Source organism: Homo sapiens, chromosome 9 (assembly GCF_000001405.40).
Source record: "Homo sapiens chromosome 9, GRCh38.p14 Primary Assembly".
In the NCBI taxonomy this organism is placed as follows: domain Eukaryota; kingdom Metazoa; phylum Chordata; class Mammalia; order Primates; family Hominidae; genus Homo; species Homo sapiens.
In genome coordinates this window covers 37,526,081-37,552,021 of record NC_000009.12, presented here as the reverse complement: position 1 = coordinate 37,552,021, position 25,941 = coordinate 37,526,081, and the positions used below count along the sequence as shown (strand labels likewise).

Here is a 25,941-nt window from a genome sequence, read left to right as displayed (position 1 = left end):
AAAGTGGCAAAGAACTTGGCTGAATCAATGTCTGTGTCCTAGGACTCTGTAGAAGGCAGAAAGGAGAGAAAGCTAGAAAAGCTAGGTGATTTGGCAGAAGAAATCTCTAAGCAGCAGAGCATTCACGATGTTGCATGGCTGCTTCTAACTGCTTATAGTAAAATGGGAAAAGAAAGAAGGATTTAAAGACAATTTATAATTAAAAGGGAAGCAGAACACAAAGATTTGAAAAACTCTCAGTTCTGGTTATGTAAAGAATTTTTTAAATGGTTTAGAAGAGAAAACCAAGGGTGTGGCCAAGTGACCATTTGATTTTCAAGGCTGCTTGTGCCGTCACTTCAATGCTAGTGCTATGAGGGCAAACCAGCTTAAAGGGCCAGGCCCGGGGCACTCTTGGAACCTTGGAGCTCATTGCTCAGGGATGCTTCAGGCCTCTGTTCCCTGGTCACCCCACCTGTGGCTCAAGCAGGCCCAGGTGTGGCTGGGCTACAGAACCCAGGGCACAAGCAGTCTACCTTGGTGCTATCCCCGTGGGGCTAACTGTAGACTTGCAGAGTACAAGAGCTGTGGAGGCTTGTGTGCCTCTACCTAGATTTCAAAGGATGCTGCAGGGAGCCCCTATTTGGGCATTACCTAGTGGAGTCTTGGAAGCAGGGCTGCCCCCAAGACTCCAGACCTGTAGAGCCACCAGCACACAGCACCAGCCTGGGAAAGCCACAGGTATTGACTGCAACCCTTCAGAGCTGTGTGGGCTATGTCCAGCAATGCTGTGGAGGCAGGGCTTTCCAGGGCCTTGGAGACCCAGCCCCCAACACGTTGTGTCCAGAAAGTTGGACATGGAGTCGAAGAAGATTATTGTCCAGCCTTAAGATTTAGTGTTGTTTGCTCTGTTCTGGACATACTTCAGGCCAGTGACTTTTTTCTTCTTGTCTGTTTCTCTCTTGCAATGGGAATGTCTGTCCTGTGCTATCCCACCACTGTATTTTGGAAGCACATAGCTTGTTTGATTTTATAGGCTCACAGCTGGAGGGGAATTTGCCTCAGGATGAATCATGCCTTGACTGTCATCCATATCTGGTTTAGATGAGACTGTGGACTTAGACTTTAAAACTGATGCTGGAACAAGTTAAGACTTTTTGGGGCTATTGGGATGGATGCACTTTGCATGTGAGAAGAACATGAATTTTGAGAGCCAGTCACCTTCAGAGAACAACAGGGAACCCATTCATTATCTTGAGAACTGAGAAATAGGCTGGGTGTGGTGCCTATAATCGCAGCACTTTGAGAGGCCGAGGTAGGTGGATCACTTGAGGCCAGGAGTTCAAGACCAGCCTGGCCAACATGGGTAAACCCCATCTCTACAAAAACTACAAAAATTAGCCAGGTGTGTGGTGCAGGCCTGTAGTCCCAGCAACTTGGGAGGCTGAGGCAGAGAATCGCTTGAACCTGGGAGGCTGAGGTTACAGTGAGCCAAGATTGCGCCACTGCACTCCAGCCTGGGCAACAGAGTGAGACTCTGTCTCAAAAAAAAAAAAAAGGCCAGGTGCAGTGGCTCATGCCTGTAATCCCAGCACTTTAGGAGGCTGAGGCGGGCCGATCACTTGAGGTCAGGAGTTTGAGACCAGCCTGGCCAACACGATGAAACCCCATCTCCCTACTAAAAATACAAAAATTAGCTGGGCATTGTGGCGGGTGCCTGTAATACCAGCTACTCAGGAGGCTGAGGCGGAACAATCACTTGAACCTGGGAGGTGGAGGTTGCAGTGAGCCAAGATCATGCCACTACACTCCAGCCTGAGCAACAGAGCAAGACTCTATCTCAAAAAAAAAAAAAAAAAAAAAAAAAAAAAAACCTGAGACGACAAAAAAAGAAAACTGAGAAATAAAATGAAAGCATTAAGCTGGCTCTTCCTATATGTACTGTGCCACTGGATAACCAAATAGTGGATGAATAGAATTATAAAATCTTCTTATAAAATTATTTCAGCTTATCAAAGCCAAATGAGTTTTGATTGGGCTTGGTTTTTGTTTTGTTTTGTACTGTTTTTAGTGTTCTTTGGTGAATTAAGAGTATTAACATTTCGTTACCACCAGTGAATTGCTGGATAGAGGCATTGAGCACCACTGGCTACTAACATCAAAAAAGAGACAACCAGAAATGTGGCTCCTAATAAAAAGGTACAATGCCACTTGTAGTATTGCTAAAGGGGTTGAACCTGGGTTTGAGCAAGCCTCTGGATCCAGTGCCAGCATGCAGGAAGTGCAGGTGACAGGAACAAGTGAGCTCTCCTTCAAGTAATGCATGCAGTCAGCAAAATTGAGACCATGAGAAACTCTGGTCAGATGAGTCAGGGTTTTCAACAAATAAATTGTAAAGAAAAGATAGAGGGGAACCAGCAGATGAAATGAGAATCAAAAGACCTATCAAGCCAAAAACTTAAGGACAAAACTAAAAACTATGGCCTCTAAGGATGTGTACTGAGGTGATAAAACCATAAAGAAATGCTCAGATGTGATTTCTACACAAATCAAGACTGAACTTACTTTTTGAGGAAGCGTTGGAATGGGGGACACAGAGAGGCTTTTAGGGGGCTTGCAAGGTTTTGTGTTTGATCCAGGTGGTGGTGAACAGGATACTTGCCTTGTAAAATGATTCTCTAAACTACACATTTGCTTTGTGTGCTCTGTGTTTTGTTTCACATGTTTAAAATGTTGGCTAGAGCTGTTCTCTGGGTGCTGTGGGAGCCCAGGGGAGGCACTTAATTTCTGAGGGGAGAGGATAAGGAAAGGTCCTCTGAAAGGTTATTATTGGGAGGGTGAGGGTAGGTTGGGATGAATGTCAGAGATGAGGCTAGAGAAAAAGACAAGCTCACAACTGATCTTCTGTACTAGGCTTGACCCAGGACTCCATGGGGAACCACTGAGGAATTTTAAGCCAACAATTGACAAGATCAGAGGTGTATTTTAGAAAGATCCCCAGGTGCGGTGGCTCACACCTATAACCCCAGCACTTTGGGAGGCCGAGGCGGGTGGATCATGAGGTCAGGAGATTGAGACCATCCTAGCTAATACGGTGAAACCCCGTCTGTACTAAAATTACAAAAAATGAGCAGGGCGTGGTGGCGGGCGCCTGTAGTCCCAGCTACCTGGGAGGCAGAGGCAGGAGAATCGCTTGAACCCAGGAGGAAGAGGTTGCAGTGAGCCGAGATGGCGCCACTGCACTTCAGCCTGGGCAACAGAGGGAGACTCCGTCTCAAAAGAAAAAAAAAAGGATCTGTCATAGTAATCCAAACCAAAGAAGTAATGCAGGGACAGGGAGGATAGTGAAGAAAGTAATCATAGGAGAGATTGCTTAAGGAGGCAGAAACACAGGACTTCAGAGAGTATCTGGGGTAGAGAGGGAGGGAAGGAGGGAGAAAAGAAATCAAGGAGGTTTCTCTAGTTCTGACTTGGGCAGCTAGGTGGAAAATGATGGTGTTATTAACCAAGGAATACAGTACAGGTGGTGGAGCAAGAATGGGGAGAGATGATAATAAATACTATTTTAAAAATGGAGATGATGTTTACATGCAATGATATGCACAGAGCTGAAGCATACAATCCAGGGAGGTTTCTATTTTTTTATTTTTTATTTTTTGAGATGGAGTCTCGCTGTGTTGCCCAGGCTGGAGTGCAGTGGCACAATCTCAGCTCACTGCAACCTCCGCCTCCCGGGTTCAAGTGATTCTCCTGCCTCAGCCTCCTGAGTAACTGGGATTACAGGTGCACACCACCATGCCCAGATAATTTTTGTATTTTTAGTAGAGGTGGGGTTTCACCACGTTGGCCAGGCTGGTCTCAAACTCATGACCTCAGGTGATCCACCCGCCCTGGCCTCCCAAAGCACTGGGATTACAGGCATAAGCCACTGTGCCCAACCTCTGGTGAGGGTTTTTAGATGTATGCACCCATATAACTAACACACCAGTCAAGATATAAAACATTTCCTTCACCCTAAAGTTCCCTCGTAACCCCTTCCAGTTAATCTCCACCTTGCTGGCAAGCACCGTTGTATTGTGTTTGTTTTTTGAGACAGGGTTTTGCTGTCACCCAGGCTGGAGTGCAGTGACACCATCAGCTTATTGTAACCTCAAACTCCTAGACTCAAGGGATTCTCCCACCTCAGCCTCCCGAGTAGCTTGGACTACAGGTGCACACCACCATGCCTGGCAACATTTTTTAACTTTTTTGTAGAGACGGGGTCTTGCTATGTTGTCCAGGCTGATCTCGAACTGGACTCAAGCTGTCCTCCCACCTCAGCTTCCCAAAGTGCTGGCATTACAGGTGTGAGCCACTGTGCCTGGCCTAAGCACTGTTTTGATTTTTATCACCATAGACTAGTTTTGTCTTTTTTGTTTTGTTTTGTTTTTTGAGATAAGAGTCTTGCTCTGTCACCCAAGCTTGAGTGCAGTGATGCGATCATGTTTCACTGCAGCTTTGATTTCCTGGGCTTAAGTGATCCTCCTACCTCAACCACCCTAGTAGCTGGGACTACAGTTGTGCGTCACCACACTCAGCTAATTTTTTGTTTTTTGTTTTTTTGTTTTGTTTTGTTTTCAGAGATGGAGTCTCAGTATGTTGCCTAAGCTGGTCTCAAACTCCTGAGCTCAAGCAGTCCACCTACCTGGACCTCCCAAAGTGCTGGGATTATAGGCGTCTGCCACTGCGCCCAGCCCCAGCATATTATTTTTGAGGTTCATACATGTTCTTGTCTACATCAATGGTTTATCCCTTTGTATTGCTGAATAGTACTCTATTGTACAAATACACCAGAACTTGTTTATCCACACTTCTGTTGATGGATGTTTGGGTTGTTTCCAGTTTGTTTGTTTGTTTTACTATTATGAATACAGCTGCTGTAAACATTCTTGTGTAAGTCTTTTTGTAAACACCTATTTTCATTTATCTTGTATAAATAACTAGGAGTGGAATTCCTGGGTCATAGGATAGGTATGCATTTAACTGTAGAAGAAACTGAAACACTTTTCTAAAGTGATTCTAAGGCCAGGTGCGGTGGCTCATGCCTGTAATCCCAGCACTTTGGGAGGCCAAGGCAGGCGGATCACTTGAGGTCAGAAGTTTGAGACCAGCCTGGCTAATATGGTGAAACCCCATCTCTACTAAAAATACAAAAATTAGCCAGGCGTGGTGGCGCACGCCTGCAGTCCCAGCTACTCGAGAGGCTGAGGCACGAGAATTGCTTGAACCTGGGAGGCAGAGGCTGCAGTGAGCAAAGATCATGGCCACTGCATCCAAAAAAAAAAAAAAAGACATCTCTAGGAGTTACTCCATGATTTTTCAACCTACTAGTGAAGGTCTTTTGCCAACTTTGTTTTGTGTTTCACTATGTCTTCTCCCCTCTTATTAAACTATCAGCAACTTGAGCACAGAGACCATGTCTTAATACCGATTTATTAATATTTTCTCTTAGGACCTGTTACATAATAAGGCTTAATAGATGTCTGTCGGATGAGTGAATGAACAAAATTAAACACAGAAGTTAAGTGGAAAATTAGAATAAATTTTCATAGCAGGTGATCCCTACTACATCTGATGAAGTCTTGCCCTGTACATGTGCAGCCCAGCCTTCAGCCTAGGAACTGCCCCTCCTCCCCACCCCCTCTGTGCTATTCACTTTATTCTGGTACCTTGCCTCACAAATGCCAGCCTCTTCAGCAGCACAGAACTCAAATCTGCCTGCTTGGTGGGACTGCCACTCTGCTTGGGCACCATCTTCTTACACCATAGTAAGAAAGTGCCTCAGAATGAATGCCAGGATGTTCTTGGCACTCACCTCCTATGTTTCCTTTCTTTCAAAAATCACAGTCTTTTTTTTTTTTAGATGGAGTTTTGCTCTTGTTCTGGCTGGAGTGCAGTGGTGTGATCTCAGCTCACTAAAACCTCTGCCTCCCGGGTTCAAGCGATTCTCCTGCCTCAGCCTCCCAAGTAGCTGGGATTACAAGTGTGCACCACCATGCCTGGCTAATTTTGTATTTTTAGCAGAGATGGGGTTTCACCATGTTGGTGAGGCTGTTCTTGAACTCCCGACTTCAAGTGATCCACCCACCTCCGCCTCCCAAAGTGCTGGGATTACAGGTGTGAGCCACCGCACCCGGCCAAAAATCACAGTCTTGAGCAGCTTGCTGCTCAGTGCCTGAAAACACATATTCACTTGCCTCATATATTTTGTCCAGCTTTATAGTTGTTTATGGCAGGAAGGGAATATCCAGTTTCCGTTATTCTGTCATGGCCTGAAGTGGAAGTCAGAGTTCCATTTTGGACATGATGTTGAGTTTTTGTTATCTATGGAACATCCAGGTAGAAATGCCCAAAAGAGAATTGGGTATTCACGTGTGGAGCTAGAAAGATGATTGGGGCTAGACATTTGGATTTTGTAGTCATGCATTTCCAGTGGTAGTTGAAGCCAAGGGAATGGATGTGATTGCTCAGCTACAAAATGGATAGAGAATGAGTAGAAGAACAATTTTCTCTTAAAAAGCCTGAGAGGCCAGGCTCGATGGCTCACGCCTGTAATCCCAGGACTTTGGGAGGCCAAGATGGGCAGATCACAAGGTTAGGAGTTCGACACCAGCCTGACCAACATGGTGAAACCCCGTCTCTACTAAAAATACAAAAAAGTTAGCTGGGCATGGCGGTGTGCGCCTGTAATCCCAGCTACTCAGGAGGCTGAGGCAGGAGAATCACTTGAACCTGAGAGGCAGAGGTTGCAGTGAGCCGAGATCGCACCACTGCACTCCAGTCTGGGTGGTAGAGTGAGACTCTGTCTCAAAAAAAAAAAAAAAAAAAGCCTGAGAATGTATAACTAAAGAAATAAACGAAGAACAGGAAACATCAGTGTCATAGAAGCCGCCATAAATAAACTGGTGTCCATCTTGGGGAGTGGCAGATGTCAGGAGCCCAGCCTTTCCCCTATTATGCTTAACAGTCCAGAGCCCAGCTTTTCTCTCTCTTTTTTTTTTTTTTTTTTTTTGAGAGAGTCTCGCTCTGTCGCCCAGGCTGGAGTGCAGTGGCGCGATCTCCGCTCACTGCAAGCTCCACCTCCCGGGTTCACGCCATTCTCCTGCCTCAGCCTCCCGAGTAGCTGGGACTACAGGCACCCGCCACCACGCCCGGCTAATTTTTTGTATTTTTAGTAGAGACGGGGTTTCACCATGTTAGCCAGGATGGTCTCGATCTCCTGACCTCGTGATCCGCCCACCTCGGCCTCCCAAAGTGCTGGGATTACAGGCGTGAGCCACCGCGCCCGGCCGCTTTTCTCTCTTAGTAAAGTCTCGCTGGTGATCATTAGAGAAGAACCTACTCATCTGGGCTCCAGTACAAATCTGCAGAATTAAAGCCACGCCAGTCTTGAGGAAGCTCAGCATTTCTTCCAGACATAATCAGACATTTGTGCTCCTAGCCTTCTTGGGGCTTAGATAACTGACAAGTATGATTAGCATTTTCATAAAATTGAGAGGATACCCAAGGCTCTAGAGAGGTCAACAATTTGATGAAGGTCAGTTGTTTCTAGTCCTACTTTATTTATTTATGAGATAGGGTCTCACTCTGTCACCTAGGCTGGAGTGCAGTGAAGCAATCTTGGCTCACTGCAACCTCTGCCTCCCAGGTCCAAATGATTCTCCTGCCTCAGCCTCCTGAGTAGCTGAGATTACAGGTGCCCACCACCACACCTGGCTAATTTTTGTTTTGTTTTGAGACAGAGTCCCGCTCTGTTGCCCAGGCTGGAGTATAGTGGCACGATCTCGGCTCACTGCAACCTCCACCTCCCAGGTTCAAGCAATTCTCCTGTCTCAGCCTCCTGAGTTGCTGGAACTACAGGCGCACGCCCCCAAACCCGGCTAATTTTTTTGTATTTTTAGTAGAGGCAGGGTTTCACTGTATTAGCCAGGCTGGTCTTGAACTCCTGACCTCAAGTGATCCACCTGCCTCGGCATCCCAAAGTGCTGGGATTACAGGCACGAGCCACTGCAGCCAGCCAAATTTTTGTATTTTTTAGTAGAGGCAAAGTTTCACCATGTTGGCCAGGCTGGTCTGGAACTCCTGACCTCAAGTAATCCACCCACCTTGGCCTCCCAAAGTGCTGGGATTACAGGCGTGAGCCACCATGTCCGGCCATAGTCCTACTTTCTAGTTGTCTAGAGACTTGGGTTTCAGACTTGGAAGTTGCTCTAGGTCATCTACTTGGCCCTTTGTTTTTTAAGTGGGAAAATTGACACTCATAAATGAGAGACCTTGAACTAGGTATAAAAACAAGTAAATGAAGCCAGCTTACATCATCAGGGATATCTGATGGCATTCAAAGGGCAAGGATAAAGCTGAGCTTTGAGAATAGACTAGAGCTATGACCTGCAGTGCTATAGAGAAACTGGATGCCCCTTGCTTCTGCCCTTTTCTCTGCTTTTTTCTGTGTCTCTAATTTATTCTTTTCTCAATGTAGATCAGCTTCTTCTGTCTTGTCTCCTCCTATGCCCCAGCCTGGGGAAAATGATCACCAGAGGCTATTCCTGAGTTTATAGCTTAGAAAAGGGGCCACTCATTCCCCACCATTCAGGAATAAGGCCATCCTGATTCTAGAATTGCAACTCCTGTTCTCCTGGAAAAGGGCTCGATGGCCCCTTTAGAACCATCCAGAGTCCAATCAGTTGCAGTCAAGAGGTCGGGGATCCTTTGTTCTACATATACATCTGCTGGGAACCTTACCTCTATAATCATGTGATATAAATCACTGGTAGGGGAGAAGAAGATTTTCCAGAAAAAGCAAGTAGGTAGATGGCTGGGCAGCCAGCCCATAGGTGTTCAGAATAACCAATTAACTGCTCAGGATAACCAATGGCAGAGCCAGGACCAAAACCCACAGCATCTGACTCAGCAGTAGTCTGTCCTGGGGCTGCCCCACGTGGGGAAACAGTAATTACTTGATCTGGGAACAAGCAGAGACAGACAGATGGACAGTCACTGCCTCAGTTCTCATTCCTAATAGTGTAAAGAGATAGAGGTCTCTTCCTTGAGAGTGTAGGGGATCCAGAGCTCTAGGACCCTAACAGCCAAAGGTGGGTTCCCTCTTAGAAGTCCAGACTCTTCTAGTTGCAAGTCACAGAAGCCCAAATCAAACTAGCTTGAGCAAAAGGGGGATTTAGTAGAAGGCCATTGGGATATCCTACAAAATTGAAGGAAGAACTGTAGATTCCAAGACATCTTTAAGAATCTGGAATCAGTACTATCAGGATACACACACACATGTGCTCACCTTGTTTTCTTCCTCTTTTTAAAGGTCATCTTTCTGTTTGGCTCTTATACCAGAAGGTTTCCTCCACATGGTGGTGAACCTGGCAGTTCCGGAGTCGTATCCTTTTTTTTTTTTTTTTGAGATGGAGATTCGCTCTTGTTGCCCATGCTGGAGCGCAATGGCACGATCTGGGCTCACTGCAATCCCTGCCTCCCTGGGTTCAAGCGATTCTCCTGCCTCAGACTCCCAAGTAGCTGGGATTACAGGCATGCACCACCATGCCCGGCTAATTTTGTATTTTTCATAGAGACAGGGTTTCTCCATGTTGGTCAGGCTGGTCTTGAACTCCCAACCTCAGGTGATCCACCTGTCTCAGCCTCTCAAAGTGCTGGGATTACAGGCCTGAGCCATTGCGCCCGGCCTGGAGTCATATCTTTATAACATCTGACCATAGAGAAAAGAGAGTCTTCCTTGCTAATTCCTGGTGGAAAAATCTAGAGTAGGATTCACATTGAAAGGATGGAGTCCTCTGACTGGCTGAGCCTTGTTTATTTGCTCACCCTTGGGCTCAGGAGATGGCAGGGGGTATTTTAAGAAAGGGACTGGAGGCCGGGTGTGGTGGCTCACGCCTGTAATCCCAGCACTTTGGGAGGCCAAGCCGGGCAGATCACCTGAGGTCGGGAATTTGAGACCAGCCTGACCAACATGGAGAAACCTGGTCTCTACTAAAAATACAAAATTAGCTAGTTGTGGTAGTGCATGCCTGTAACCCCAGCTACTTGGGAGGCTGAGGCAGGAGAATTGCTTGAATCTGGGAGGTGGAGGTTATGGTGAGGCCAAGATCGCACCACTGCACTCCAGCCTGGGCAAGAAGAGTGAAACTCCATCTCAAAAAAATAAAAAAGGGGGACTGGTAAGTAGGATAGACAGAAATCTCTTTTGTTTTGTGTCTGTCTCCTAGGTGACCATGGAGGCTGGTGGCCTCCCCTTGGAGCTGTGGCGCATGATCTTAGCCTACTTGCACCTTCCCGACCTGGGCCGCTGCAGCCTGGTATGCAGGGCCTGGTATGAACTGATCCTCAGTCTCGACAGCACCCGCTGGCGGCAGCTGTGTCTGGGTTGCACCGAGTGCCGCCATCCCAATTGGCCCAACCAGCCAGATGTGGAGCCTGAGTCTTGGAGAGAAGCCTTCAAGCAGCATTACCTTGCATCCAAGACATGGACCAAGAATGCCTTGGACTTGGAGTCTTCCATCTGCTTTTCTCTATTCCGCCGGAGGAGGGAACGACGTACCCTGAGTGTTGGGCCAGGCCGTGAGTTTGACAGCCTGGGCAGTGCCTTGGCCATGGCCAGCCTGTATGACCGAATTGTGCTCTTCCCAGGTGTGTACGAAGAGCAAGGTGAAATCATCTTGAAGGTGCCTGTGGAGATTGTAGGGCAGGGGAAGTTGGGTGAAGTGGCCCTGCTGGCCAGCATTGATCAGCACTGCTCAACCACACGCCTGTGCAACCTCGTCTTCACGCCAGCCTGGTTCTCACCCATCATGTATAAGGTGGGTATCCACATCAATAGACGGCCTTTCTAGTTCTGACCCCAGAGGCTTGCCCTCTTTTCTGGGCTTTTAATCCCTTTTTTTGTTGGAATTGAAAGTTAAGAGTTATTATTATACTCATACTCCTCTGAGTGCTGAACCAGTTGAGAAACAGGCACAGTGATCAGTAGAGTTCAGAATTCTGCTTTATTCTTGGTAAAGCAGTATTTAAAAATGGCTTGGGCTTGGAACCAAAATTCTTTTGCACCTCTTCCCTTTCCAACTGGACCAACTGGAGCCACCAGTCTAGCAGCGGCGGGAAAGCCAGGTTCTGGAAGCATGCCACTTGGTGACAGGAAGCAGAGAGCCCATTAGCTGCTCATGGAGGCATGCCCAGAGTGAGAGCCACAGAGGAAAAAGGCTATACAGGACTAGTCACCTTCAGCACATGAACCCCACCCTGTGTGGGATCAAGGAAGGGCAGGCTTTTACCATGATTTGCTAGTTCTCAAGGGCAATGGTGAGAAGGTTAGAAAATATTTGTCCAACATATTCCTTCCGTGAATGCAGAGCCAGAAGATGGTTCAAAGTAAAGCAGGTATCCAGGTGTTGGTAGTTCCTGGCAGAACAGTCTATAGCTTATACATTGCCTAGAAACTTGGATTATGTAGGTAGTCAATAAAAATTATATCGCTTTCCTGCCTGCTCATAAAAAATAAAAGATTTTTGGCCAGGTGCAGTGGCTCACACCTGTAATCCCAGCACTTTGGGAGGCCGAGGCAGGTGGATCACCTGAGGTCAGGAGTTCGAGACCAACATGGTGAAACCTGTCTCTACTAAAAATACAAAATCAGCGGGGCATGGTGGCAGGTGCCTGTAATCCCAGCTACTCGGGAGGCTGAGGCAAAAGAATCGCTTGAACCCGGGAGGCGGAGGTTGCAGTGAGCTGAGATGGTGCCATCGCACTCCAGCCTGGAGGACAAGAGTGAGACTTTGTCTCAAAAAAAAAAAATCATATATATATGATTTTTAAAAGTATATTGCCAATAACAATTGTCTCTCATGTTTGTAATGATCCTTATACCACTGGTCATTTGTGACAGATGTAGTGTGTGCATGCCATATGCCTTATAGCCATTATCTCATGGGTTCCTCTCCACATGCCTCTGAGATAGGTAATGTCATCTGATTTTATAGATGAGAAAACTGAGGCTCAGCAAGATTAAGTGACATCAAGGTCTCAGACTTAGTAAGATCCAAAGTCTATTCATAATCTAGGTGACTTTCCATCTGTGACCTCATTGGACCCCCACAGCAAACATTTGTGTAGGTGAAGTAGATGTGGTATGCCTATTTTGCAAATGAGGGCTACTGAAGGTCACAGTTGGTAAGTAACTTTCTCAAGTGGGTAATTAGGGAAGTTAGATCTCAAATTCAGGCCTTCTCATCTAAATGCTTATAAAATTACATCATGCTATGTTACCTGAAAGCTTAAAAGCTTGTGTTTTAGCCCTAGAGCATTTCAGAAGAACTGATGAACTTCTCTGGTGCTGGTCTGCAGGCCCAGAAGGAGAGTTTGTTTCTAGAAAGAAATAATGTTCCAGACCCTTCACATTTTGTAATACATTTATTCTTAGAGTAATATTTTGATTTCAGCCTCTACTTCTCCCTCAGAAGTATAGTCATAGATCCTCAAGGGATGAGGCCTGGCGTTAGACTTGTTTGTAGCCTGCCCTGTGGCTTAGTGCTTAGCATATAACATATATTAGTTAGTGTTCAGTCCATGATTGTTTTTCAACTAAAGGAGACATGGGGGCCTGGGATGGCTTTGCCTGAAAAATGCAAAGGCCAAGGCGATTTCACAGCAGTTTTCAGTGACTTCTAAGGAGAACCTTAGCAGTGGCTCTGCATCTCCAGAGAGCTGGCTTTTTTATCTTTAGAGAGAAAATGGATTTAAATAGCAAGGAAAAATTAGGTTAGCCATAAGGAAGAAATTAGAAAAGTTAAGGGGGCTTAAATTCTGGGACAATCTATCAAAGGTCAATTTTAAAACTTATTCAAGGGGTAGGTACGTCTGGATTATTAAATGGAATCATGAGATACTCCCTCATTTGATGATTCAAATACATCTGATGAAATATGTATAAAATCCAGAAACAGCTCTTTTTCAGGAATAGAGAGTGAGTGGGCCTCACCAAGACTGCTTCTCAGTTGGGCCCACAGAGCCAAGGGGCCCAAATGAATTAGGCAGGAGAGTTTGGCACTGCCCCATCCCCACTCCAGACTCTTGAGGACACTCTGCTCCTTGTGTCCCTGACCCCAGATGATAATAACTGACTTTTATTGAGTGCTAAGTTTGTGCCTAGCATGGTGCTTTGTGAACTAGTGAGCCCCATGCTGCAGACAAGGAAACTGAGGCTTAAAGAGGTGAAGTCATTTGTCCAAGATAACACTTGCAGTCAACCCCCGGAGCCCATGCTTTTTTTTTTTTTTTTTGGACACCGAGTCTTGCTCTTTCGCCCAGGCTGGAGTGTACTGGCGCAATCTCGGCTCACTGCAACCTCTGCCTCCCAGGCTCAAGCTATTCTCATTCCTCAGCCTCCCAAGTAGCTGGGACTACAGGCGCACACCACCACGCCCAGCTAATTTTTGTATTTTTAGTGGAGATGAGGTTTCACCATGTTGACAAGGCTGGTCTCGAACTCCTGACCTCAAGTGATCTGCCCATCTTGGCCTTCCAACGTGCTGGAACTACGGGCGTGAGCCACCACACCTGGCAGAGCCCATGCTTTTAACCACTGTTCAATGCTTCCTGGCAATGGCAGTATACCTTGTCCCCTCTCTTTAGAGACATATTTTGCTGTGCACCACGTGCATCAGTTGCCACACAGTCAGAACTCTTTGCCAGCACATGCGGCTAGGCCTCTCTCACTGCCTGTCCTAGCCCTGGCACGTGATTGAGACTTGAGGTTTTAGGAGGAGTCATGCTGCAGTGTGAACTTTTCTGCCATCATCTACTTGTCTCCCTTCCTTTGAGATTAGAAGGATGGAGGTGCGGGCAGCTCCAGTTTCCCTCCCTCTCTGATGCAGAGCAGCTCCCCAGTTCCTTTTGGGGACAGCTGACATCCAGACCCCAGTGGGGAGGGGAAGATGATCAGCAGAACAAATGGCCTTTCCATGTTCTACCCTCCTTAAAGGGCAGCTAGAGTCCAAAACCAATCTCATCCCTCTTACAGCCGTTTTCTTCTTTTCATTCCCCAGACAACATCAGGTCACGTCCAGTTTGACAACTGCAACTTTGAGAACGGGCACATCCAGGTCCATGGCCCGGGTACTTGCCAAGTGAAGTTCTGTACCTTCAAAAACACCCATATCTTCCTGCACAACGTGCCCCTGTGTGTCCTGGAAAACTGTGAATTTGTGGGCAGTGAAAACAACTCTGTGACTGTTGAGGGTCACCCATCTGCAGATAAGAACTGGGCCTACAAGTATCTACTAGGGCTTATCAAGTCCTCACCCACTTTTCTCCCCACAGAGGACTCTGACTTTTTAATGTCCCTGGACCTAGAGAGCCGGGACCAGGCCTGGAGCCCAAAGACCTGTGACATTGTTATCGAGGGCAGCCAGAGCCCTACCAGCCCAGCCTCTAGCTCCCCAAAGCCAGGCTCCAAGGCTGGCTCACAGGAGGCAGAGGTGGGTAGTGATGGTGAAAGGGTGGCCCAGACCCCGGACAGCAGCGATGGAGGCCTGAGTCCCAGCGGTGAGGATGAAGATGAGGACCAGCTGATGTACAGACTATCCTACCAAGTGCAGGGCCCACGCCCTGTATTGGGGGGCTCATTTCTGGGCCCACCTCTACCAGGAGCATCCATTCAGCTGCCCAGCTGCCTAGTGCTGAACTCACTGCAGCAGGAGCTGCAGAAGGATAAGGAGGCCATGGCACTGGCCAACTCCGTGCAGGGCTGCCTCATCCGCAAGTGCCTCTTCCGGGACGGGAAGGGAGGCGTCTTCGTCTGCTCCCACGGCAGAGCCAAGATGGAAGGAAACATCTTCCGGAACCTGACTTACGCAGTGCGGTGTATACATAATAGCAAGGTGCTGTCATGACTTTAGATTGGTCAGGGGGCTCCTGTGGCTATATGTAGGAAGGGTTTGATGGGGCTATTTTGCATTTTAAAAATAATTTTCTTTAAACTTATTCACGCACGCTTGACGTCATGCCCATCATCTGATTTGGAAAGGACAGAAACGCTTTTTCTCATTTCCCAGAAAGAGAGGCCCAGAGAGAGAACGTGGCTTACTCAGGGTCACATAGCAAGTTAGGCAGAATTGAGACTAGAAACTCGGGTCTCCTGCCTCTTTTCACTATGTCATGCTGCTGCTCACATATCTCACCATGTCGGAGTAGGAGAAACAAAGCCTGGATAAGAGAAAATTCAGGGAGATATGATTACTACCTTCACTCCAAACTGGAGTAGGGTTGTTGAGGAAACGTCTGTGCTGGGTACAATGAGAAGAAGGTCCAGGGAAAATTGGACACGTGATAAGAAGGGGTGGAGAGTGAGGGTGTCCCAACAGCAGAAACATCCTACGCCAGAGCCTGGGTGTGAGGTTGAATTCAACCATGCGGTGGGGCTAGGTTGAAGGATGAAGCTGGGGGTGAGCAAAAGCTACCTTACCCAGACCTGGAATCCCCCTTGAGACATTTGGGCCTTATGCTAAGAACAGTCCTTCTAGCCACTGCGACAATCAACACCTTCTATGTGCTGGGACTTAGGGCACCACAGGACAATCTGCAAATCCTGTAAATGGTTGATGACAGGAAGGCCTTCTGAAGGGAAAGACAGCCCATGCAGAAGAAAGCATGGCATAGCACCTAGATTCGAGTCTCACCTCTCCACTAACTCACTATGAACATGACCTTCACTTTCGTAAAATGAAAATAAGCATCCCTATTTTTCTTCTCTCACTGGCTATTGGAAGGTCCCATGCCGGAAGTATTCAGTAAACTAAAGAACATTGTACAAAGGTCACTCATGAGTGTTGCAGGCTTCTAAAATGGTTAATAGCAATCACATTTTAATTAATTTAAATTTAATTGTGTTTTACCCAGCCCACTTCCAAAGAGGATTTCAGGTGATGTTACTTTGAAAGCATAATGCAAGACTCCTGTACACATACATAAAAGAAAATGGCCAAATAAAAAGGGAAAGGTAATAGCTTTGCTGTCGTGACTACCACGATGAAAGGATCTGGCTCAAGCCCTCAAGGAGGGCATTCTTCCTTGCATAGTTATTGAGAATATGGCTTTCTAGTTAAAGTCTGGCTCTGCCCCTTAAGTCGGCAGGGTGAAGACGCGAGGCAAAGGAGGTGTGTGTGAAGGCCCAGAAGTAAGGGGAGACACACCCTTTCACCCTTTCAAGCAAGGCCTTGATCCTTGCTCCCCCACAGAAGGCTGTCACCTGGCTCTGTCCTCTAGAACATCCCAGGAGGGTAAAGGCTGGCAGGAGGAGCCTGGTTGCTTGAGGCTCCAAGAAGAAAAGTGTCAGCCGGGTGCTGTGGCTCAAGCCTGTAATCCTAGCACTTTGGGAGGCTGAGGCGGGCAGATTGCCTGAGCTCAGGAGTTCGAGACCAGCCTGGGCAACACGGTGAAACCCCGTCTCTACTAAAATAAAATAAAAAAAAAATAGCCAGGCATGGCAGCGGGCACTTGTAGTCCCAGCTACTCGGGAGGCTGAGGCAGGAGAATTGCTTGAACCCGGGAGGTGGAGGTTGCAAGTGAAAGCCAAGATTGCGCCACTGCATTCCAGCCTGGGTGACAGAGCAAGACTCCGTCTCCAAAAAAAAAATAAAAAAAAAGAAGTGTCACCGACTGTGATTTTCTTCTTTATGTGTCATAAATTTTAGTTGGAAGTCAGATATCTCATGTAGGACAGTGGGGACTGAGCTCTGTAGTATTTAGTTTGGAAATGGGCACACCTCTTCTTTTGCCTGGCTCTTAGGAGGTCGATCTAGTTAGGAGCTGAGCCCGTTTGAATTATGGTGATGATAGGATTATCCTCAGCGTCCCGTAGGCTTCAGCTCTCTCCAGCATTACCTCGTGCTAGTTTTCTCCGCTTCAGATCTTCCTTTGTGCCTGCTGCTCAGAGGCGATCTCCGCTGCTCTCGCCCTCCCTCAGCAGTAGACTGCCATTATTTGTCACCCTACGTGATGGCAGGGTTTCTCTCTTGTCCTGGGTCATCCTTAGTCTAGGTAGGTGCTGTGTCTGTGGTCTTGAGAGCAGGACTTTTTCAGTGACCCTGGCTCTACCCCCAGCACTAGGGGACCTCTGATGATCTGGGCCTAAGTCACTTTCCTCCCAACACCCCCAGAGATAAGAGTGTTTTCCCGCTGTTTCTCTGTGCATACGGTTTGTTTTGTAAGAGAGTTAGGGGGAAAGAACACAGGAGAGGGGCTTAATGCCTCTCTCACTTTTGTCCCCAGCCTGCGTCAGGAGGGTGCTGTCTCCAGTCTCTCATCTGCCCCCAGTTTTCTCCATGAACACCTAGTGAAGGCCACAGAGAAGTGAACAGGTGCAGCTACTCCCAGAGTTTCTGCACTCACACTAATTCACAGCTGGTCTTTAACAGTGCATTGAAAATGTTAGCTGAGTTCTTACTGGCTTGTATGACACATGCAGCCCTGCATTCAGCAGGGAAGTGCTCAGGCCTCGTCTCCTTGGAGGCGCCTGTCTTTCTTTTTTTGAGACGGAGTCTCACTCTTTCACCCAGGCCGGACTGCAGTGGCACGATCTGGGCTCACTGCACGCTCCGAAAGGCACCTGTCTTTTTGTAGCATTCAGGCTAGCCGGTTGTCCAGCAGCCTCAGCTCTGATGGGTTCCACCAGAAAGTCCATGTTTGTGTATATTCTTTCTACTTTCTCCATCCTAAGCAGAAGCTGAAACCTTACCATTTATACTCTTGTTCTACTTTAGTCTTCACAGAATTTTGTCCTAATGCAATATATTATTAGTAGTACACAATTTATAATAATATATTTTATTATTAATCTATAATTGTTTAAGACAGCATAGATAAACATTCCAGATTTTTTATATATTATCATGCTTTGGTATCCGTGGGGGCTTGGTTCCAGGATACTAAAATCCACAGATGCTCAAATCCCTTATATAAAATGTTATAGTATTTGCACCTAACCTGCACACATCCTCCCACACTTCAGTCATCTCTAGATTACTTATAATACCCAATACGATGCAAATGCTATGTAAATAGCTCTTCTACTGGGTTTTTTTGTTTGTTGGTTGTGTTTTTTTTGTTTTTTTTTTTTTGAGACGGAGTCTCCACTGTTTAGCCCAGGCTGGAGTGCAAAGATGTGATCTCAGCTCACTGCAACCTCTGCCTCCTGGGTTCAAGCGATTCTCCTGCCCCAGCCTCCCAAGTAGCTGAAACTACAGGCATGAGCCACCACGCCCAGCTAATTTGTTGTATTTTTAGTAGAGATGGGGTTTCACCATGTTGGCCAGGCTGGTCTCAAACTCCTGACCTCAGGTGATCCGCCCGCCTCAGCCTCCCAAAGTGCTGGGATTACAGGCATGAGCCAACACGTCCAGCCTATACTGTTGTTGTTTTTTTTAATTCAATTTTATTTTATTTTTGAGATAAGGTCTCACTCTGTCGCCCAGGCTGGAATACAGTGGCACAATCTCGGCTCACTGCAACCTCTGCCTCCCTGATTCAAGAGATTCTCCTGCCTTAGCCTCCTGAGTAGCTGGGACTACAGGCATCTGCCACCATGCCTGGCTAGTTTTTGTATTTTTAGTAGAAACGAGGCTTCACCGTGTTGGCCAGGCTGGTCTCAAACTCCTGACCTCAAGTGATCCGCCCACCTCGGCCTCCCAAAGTGCTGAGATTACAGACGTGAGCCACCACACCTGGCCTGTTTTTCAATTTTATTATTTATTATTTTTAATAATGTATATTCAATCCACAGTTGGTTGAATCCATGGATGCAGAACCCACAGACATGGGGGAGACAACTGTACTTATTAAACATAAAAAGAAAATGTAATTGGAAATATATCCCTTTATTAGCAGGTTGCTGGTTATGGGAACTTGTTTGAAGGAGGCTTTGTTATACCAATATCTCTAATCATCCCTTCATTTGGAGTCTCAGTAGTTTTCCACCCCAGGGTGATACACCATGAAAGATTTAGGATGTGCAAGAACAGGCCTTTGTTTTATAAAGTGGAAGGGAAGGTGGGAGAGGAGAACCTGTGTGGTACCTTACTGTCCGTGCCGTCTCAGACAGGTGGATTTTAGTGAAGGTGCATTGGAAGTGGTGGACCTGGAACTTTATTTCATTAAAAGTAGCTGCACCCTCGACCCCTGGGGAAATCTTCATGCAAACTTAGTGCATGTAAAGTTTGAAGACCACTCAGTCCCATCTTCCCCTAAGCGTCCTTTCTATCCCATCATCCAGCTATGCTGCTTGCAGGTTCTGAATATAGAGCACAGGGCCAAGCTTTGGTCCAGGTTTTAGTTAAAGGACCAGTGTGGGCCAGGTGTAGTGGTTCATGCCTGTAATGCCAGCAGTTTGGGAGGCCAAGGTGGGAGGATTGCTTGAGCCCAAGAGTTCCAGACCAGCCTGGGCAACATAGTGAGATTCCATCTCTACAAAAAATAGAAAAGTTAACAACAAAATTACTCCAGCCCACATCCATAGTAAAAATAAAAATAAACAAAAATTCAAAAATTAGCCTGTAGCCCCAGCTATTTGGGAGGCTGAGGTGGGAGGATCACGTGAGCCTGGGAGGCGGAGCTTGCAGTAAGCCGAGATCATGCCACTGCACTCCAGCCTGGGCAACAGAGCAAGACCCTGTCTCAAAAAAAAAAAAAAAAAAAAAAAAGAACCAATGTGAGACCGCTAAGGAGCCTGCAGGGCAAAGCCAGGTAGGGCCTGGAGATGGCTGTGTCCTGGGAGCACACAGTGGGAGCGTGGCTGTGCCAGCATTGAGGCGTTTCTCTTGCCTACGGGGTAAACTGCATGGATCAGGTGGTGCGGAAAAGACTCAGGTGTTCCTCCAGTGGTTTCTAAAAAAATATTTGTAACAGGAAAATAAATGGCTTTCTCTTTTCTGCTTAGATCATCATGCTCAGGAACGACATTTACCGCTGCCGAGCGTCAGGCATCTTTCTTCGCTTGGAGGGCGGTGGCTTGATTGCCGGCAACAACATTTACCACAATGCAGAGGCTGGTGTAGACATCCGGAAAAAGTCCAACCCACTCATACTGGTACTTTGTGTTCGTTCCCTATTCAGGGTGACTCTTGGTTTTCAGAAACCATTTGTGAGGATATTTAAATACACGTTGCCCTCTTGTATTTACGTGCTTCCTGTTTGCAGGTGGCTCCTGCTCTGTCCTCTGCGTGTCCTTGTGACTCTGTGTCTCTGTCTGTGTATTAGCAGTGACTTTGGACAAGTCATTTTCTGGTCATCTCCCCGTTAATAAGGAGGAGGACCAGAAAGACAGGGAAACCTCACAGGGCCCTCAGCCCTCATATGCTGTGGTTGGCTTTGAGTTTGATAAGGTTAAAGAGAGTGATGTCTGCCCTAAAGACACTTGGATCCAACAACAAACAAAAACAACAGCAGCGAACCCACCAAGTTAGTTTATTCACTTGTGTAAGAGGACATTTCGGGTATTTAGTTCTGAAGATTGTTTCGTGGTTATTGTGAGGGCATATTGAGTTTGATTTTCTACCCGTGTGAAAACCACTTAAAATCCTAGACTGTGTGGCCAGTGACACGAGAGACCAGCTCCTTTTCTGCTCTGGCTCTTCCTGAGAAGCAGGTTTGGGGTTTGGGGGTTTTTTATTTTGTTTTTACACAGATTTATGGGGTATGGGAGGAATTTTGTTACATGTATACTGAGAGACAGATTTCCTAGGAGTTGGGAAATATAACAGACTTTTTATGGGCTTGAAAAAATAATAGCCACCATTAATACATAATGCTTATTATACGCCAGATGCTTTTTTAAGCACTTCATAGATATTTACTTGTCATTTAATGCTTACAGAACCCTGTGAAGAATTATTATCATCCCTATTTTATAGTAAAGATATAGAGCCTGAAGAGGCAGAGGATCCTGCCCAAAGTCCTACACCTAGTGACAGAGCTGGGATTTGAATCCAGGCAGTCTGACTCACGGGTAATGCTGAACCCATCATATCTTAACTGCCCATAAAGATACAGAGAGAAGGCTGGGCACAGTGGCTTATGCCTGTAATCTCAGCACTTTGGGAGGCCAAGGCAGGAAGATCACTTGAGTCCAGGAGTTTAAGACCAGCCTGGGCAACATAGCAAGACCCTGTCTCTACAAAAAATTATAAAAATTAGCTGGGCATGGTAGCTCACACCTGTCGTCCCAGATACTTGGGAGGCGGAGGTGGGAGGTGGGAGGATCACTTGAGTCTGGGAGGTCATGGCTGCCATAACTATGGCATGGTCATGAGCCATGATTGTGCCACTGCACTCCAGCCTGGGCAACAGAGCGAGACCCTGTCTCAAAAAAAGAAAAAGAAAATACACACAGCTAGCCAGTGTCTCCTGCCAACCCCTTCCCCTCACTGTGTTTCTACCATGCAGCTGGTGGTTGATGCATGGCTTTGGCTTAGGAAATTATTGCCCCTCTGGCTAGAGAGATGAGGGGTTTGCCCTTCTGAGGACAGAGGGATAGCAGGTGGAGGGGGAAGGGAGTGGTATATTTTAGTCCTGGCGTTGTGAAAGGGTGTAGGGATGGAAATGCTGCTGCATACTCCTTTTGGAGCTCTTCAGCCCTGTGCGGGACTTCTCTTAGGCAGTGGTTGCTCTGATGAGCCTGCCAAATCCTTCAGGAAAAATCTGGAAAGAGTAAGAATAAGGAGAGTTTGCACACGAAACACTTTAAAGCCAACTAGAACTTTATTTCTGCGAAATCATTTTGGAAGAGATACAGCTAACTTCCCAATTTACAAAGTATAGAATTGGACTTCAGCTATAAATTAACTTAGAGTGAGATAATTTTATTATTATTCTAATCTAAAAATATTAAGTCACTGTGCAAAAGCAACTAACTGGAATGGGAAAGAGAAAAACTAGATTTCAGATCTGGCTTTTCCACAAATGTACTATATAATCGTGGGCCTGTTTTCCCATTCGCACAAAGAGATATTAGAAATGAATATCTTGCCGGGTGTGGTGGCTCACACCTGTAATCCCAGCACTTTGGGAGGCCAAGATGGGAGGATCACTGGAGGCCAGGAGTTCAAGACCAGCCTGGGCAATGAAGCAAAACCCTGTCTCTACCAAAAAAAAAAAAAAAAGATATCTCTTGGCATTCTGTAGCTCATACACCTTCTAAGACCTTATGCCCCATGGGACAGCTTGGCCCCCCAGTGTCTGCATCTTCCGCTGGCCCTCCCTAAATGAGAAAGGACTAGAAGTCAAACAACTGTGACCCCTCTCTGGATGTGGCCCCTTTAGGACTGCAGTTGGCCAACATTTGGTTGCACTGGGGTGCTGCCTTTCCTCAAGAGATGGCCTCCCTGGACCCTAGAAGTTATGGCCTGGCCAAATGATTATGTGTTTAGGGGACTCATTAGAGGCTCTGAAACTTTCAGTAGCCTGCCTTGCAGGTGAAGACCAAGAGCCCTCCTAAGAGGCTGGGCAGCGAAGACTCCAGTCTTCATAGTCTCCCTTACAGGTTTTCATGTGTGTACTGGTGCAGGAAGGGCAGGGCGGCAGTGTGACCCATTCCCTTTGTCACGGGCTAGGGCTCTTACAGTGACGTCATTTTCTCCACTGTGTTCATCCTGCCGCGGAGGTGTGGGCGGCACCTGGGCACTCTGCTTCGCTGACGTGTCTGATCTGGCTTCTGTGGTGTCTCATTTTCACTTGCAGTGTAACCAGATCCACCATGGCCTTCGCTCTGGCATTGTCGTCCTTGGCAATGGGAAAGGCATCATCCGGAACAATCAAATCTTTTCCAATAAGGAGGCTGGCATTTACATCCTGTACCACGGAAACCCCGTTGTGAGGTGTGTGCTGCTGTTTCCCTCCTTCATCTTTGTTAACCTCCTCCCTGTCTCTCCTCCATTTGAAAACACTCTTTACGGAAACAACTGTACAGATGCAAGCAGAGAAGAGACTTCACTCATCATCCCACCCCAGTAACACAGCGGCTTTTGTGTTTATGTGCCCTTCCAGTGAACTCCGTGTAGGCGTTCTATTCGGCAGTCACTACTGAGCACTTCCAACATGGGCAGGCTCTGCTCCCTGGGAGCTTACTCTAGCCTGGAGAAATGGGCACAGAAGTACCCCCAGGCAGGGATGGAACAGAGATTTCAGCTCACCTAACAGTTTCAGTTACTTGCTAGTGGTGCCTGGGGGTGCTGTGTCAACATCCTGGTGCTGCACCTGGCCTCAGCACAAAAGCATGCTGTGGTCAGGGACTGATATAAGTGATAGGTGGGAGGCAGCAGTGGCAGTCCTGGGACCCTGTCTGCCATCCCAGCTCTAGTATGGGGCAGACTGTGATAAATGCTGTCAGAGTGGTACCAGAAGGAGAGACTCATTCTGACTAGGAGGATGTGGGAAGGCCTCATTTAGGAGGTAGCATCAGAGTCAGACTTTGGAATATGGGTAAGACTTGGACTCATGGAGATAGGGGTAGGGAGGGGTCGGTGGATGTTCCTAGTAATGGAACAGCATGAGCAAAGGCAGCAGGGCACAGCAGATTCAGGGGTTAGCAAACCGTTGACGGTGGCTTGAGAAAAAATCTGACATGGTGTGACAGTGCTATAGAATATTTTAAATTGGGATGGTCCCAGAATATCTTGGGCCCTGTGGTCACTGCAGTGTGACCCTTGACGTCCTTGCGGCAGACCATCTGTGCCACACAGCAGAGTGGAAAGGAATGATGGAAAGAAAGGCTTGGGCCAGATGAGGAAGGCCTTATGTAGACCAAGCTGAGGCGGGGGAGCCTATTCTGTCTACACAGCGGGGACTCATTAAAGGCTCTGAGCAGAAGACTCACACAGTTATGTCTGTGCTTTAGGAGAATAGCTGGCATTAATGGGCAGCAAGTATATTCAGAGCGCTTTCCCCCAGCATTATTCCATAGGTACTTTGTCTCCATGTTGTTGCATGCATGGCCTTTACATTCATCACTTTGGAAAGTTTCACCATATTCCAGTATTTCGATATGCCATAATTTTTGAACCAGACCTAATTGCTGGTTCAAAAATTACGGAATATAATCCTATTTTTCACTGTTACAGACAGCTTACTAAAAACAATTAGTGGTCATAGAGCTCTTTCCCTTCTTCTGCATTATTGCCTGAACAGAAGAGTGTGTATTTGTATGTGTGTGTGCTGTTCATTGAACACACATTCCAGCCACTCTATATAAGGGGGCAGTGATATACAACATGTACAAGAACAGTCCCTGCCTGCCCCATGGAGTTGACAGTCTTATGCTGGAGATGGACACACACTCACACAGCCATGATGGAAGACTCACCAAAATGAGCACTTTACTAGGCATTCATGCAGACTGACCAAGGAACTCAGCCGTGATCTCAGCTGAGCATGTCAGGGAGCTGACATTTGAGTTGTGCTTGAAAGATAAATAGGATTTTATGGCCAGGGAAAAGGCATTCTGGGCCAGAGGCAGTGAAATTCAGGGTATGTCTGAGAAAATGGTGAGAAATGTGGTGTGTTTGGACACGAGATACCAGAGGGATAGTGCAAAGGCAGGTTGTTGCTGGACGGCAGAGGACCTTGAATGCCAAGCATGATAGGCAGAATAATGGCCCCAAGGATGTCCATGTCTTAGTCCCTGAACCCTGTGCATATGTTGCCTTACAAGGCAAGAGGAACTTTGCAGATTTGATTGAGTGAAGGACTTTGGAGAAAGATGAAAGGAGGTTATTTTGGATGATACAGGTGGGCCCAGTGTAACCACAGGCCCTTATGAGAAGGAAGCAGGGGAATTAGATTAAGAGAGCAGGGGCCGGGGCGGTGCCTCATGCCTGTAATCCCAACACTTTGGGAGGCCGAGGCGGGCAGATCACTTGAGGTCAGGAGTTCGAGATCAGCCTGGCCAACACGGTGAAACCCCATCTCTACTAAAAATATAAAAAATAGCCAGGTATGGTGGCAGGTGCCTGTAATCCCAGCTACTTGGGAGGCTGAGGCAGGAGAATCGCTTGAACCCGGGAGGCGAAGGTTGCAGTGAGCCGAGATCGTGCCACTGCACTCCAGCCTGGGTGACAAGAGCGAGACTCCATTTCAATAAATAAATAAATAAATAAATAAATAAATAAATAAATAAATAAAATATTTTAAAAAATAAATAAATAAGAGAGCAGGAGATGTGAGGACAGAAGCAGAAGTCAGAGTGATGAGGCCACAGCCCAAGAAGTGCAGGCGGCCTCTAGGAGCTGGAAAGGATGAGGAGTGGATTCTCCCCGGAGCCTCCAGATAGAACACAGGTCTGCTGACACTTTGATTTTAGCCCTGTGAAACCCATTTTGAACTCCTGGCCTCCTGAACTGAAAGATAGAAATTTGTATTGTTTTAAGCCACCAAGTTTGTGGTAATTTGTTATAGTAACAATAGGAAACTAATACACCAAGCTGAAAAGTCTGGGCTTTACCTTGGGGATGCTGGGGAACCATGAAAGAGTTTTGGGTGAGGAATATCATAATTAGATCAGTGTTGGGTTTTTAAAACATAGTCATCTTGAGAGAATAGGTTGTGCTTTTTTCCTTTGTTTCTTTGCAATGAGAGATAAGAGTCTGGAGCAGGATACGGAATGAAGTTTAAGATCCCTGTAATGGCCTGGATGAGACAAACCATAGGATCTATTTTTGCCACAGAAAGTTATATTTTTTGTCTTTTTATATGTTATATATGTTTCTCTTTTTTCCTTGGATGCAGAGAAGCACAGGACTCAAATTGTGCTCATCTGCAGTTAATATCCCATCCTGGGCTCTTGGTACACTGATCTGTCCCCTTCTTCTAAGTGTTTTCTCATCCCTCCTGTATCTTTATTCTGCTTGCCCCATGTACACACAT

General features: G+C 46.8%; 1 protein-coding gene across 7 annotated transcripts in view, besides 3 other annotated features; it reads left to right on the top strand.

Annotated features, from left to right (window-relative positions):
- Nucleotides 1-25,941, top strand: part of FBXO10 (F-box protein 10) — a 65,489-nt gene that overhangs the window by 24,359 nt on the left and 15,189 nt on the right. For 5 of the 7 annotated variants that reach the window (NM_012166.3, XM_047423220.1, XM_047423219.1 and 2 more), the window contains 4 exons: nt 10,248-10,838; nt 14,079-14,912; nt 19,964-20,113; nt 22,762-22,898. In NM_012166.3, the coding sequence (NP_036298.2) occupies nt 10,254-10,838; nt 14,079-14,912; nt 19,964-20,113; nt 22,762-22,898 (1,706 nt within the window). In that variant the 5' untranslated portion in view covers nt 10,248-10,253. Of the gene's footprint in view, nt 1-8,159; nt 9,111-10,247; nt 10,839-14,078; nt 14,913-19,963; nt 20,114-22,761; nt 22,899-25,941 lie in introns of those variants that run through there. The other 2 variants (XM_047423221.1, XM_047423222.1) reach the window with 2 other exon arrangements.
- Nucleotides 20,098-20,157: a silencer, noted in NCBI's record as "silent region_19907". NCBI's record gives its function as "represses an Ori minimal core promoter by ATAC-STARR-seq in GM12878 lymphoblastoid cells {active_cell/tissue: GM12878}" and the evidence as "EXISTENCE:reporter gene assay evidence [ECO:0000049][PMID:35858748]".
- Nucleotides 22,532-22,581: an enhancer, noted in NCBI's record as "active region_28396". NCBI's record gives its function as "activates an Ori minimal core promoter by ATAC-STARR-seq in GM12878 lymphoblastoid cells {active_cell/tissue: GM12878}" and the evidence as "EXISTENCE:reporter gene assay evidence [ECO:0000049][PMID:35858748]".
- Nucleotides 22,682-23,051: an enhancer, noted in NCBI's record as "active region_28395". NCBI's record gives its function as "activates an Ori minimal core promoter by ATAC-STARR-seq in GM12878 lymphoblastoid cells {active_cell/tissue: GM12878}" and the evidence as "EXISTENCE:reporter gene assay evidence [ECO:0000049][PMID:35858748]".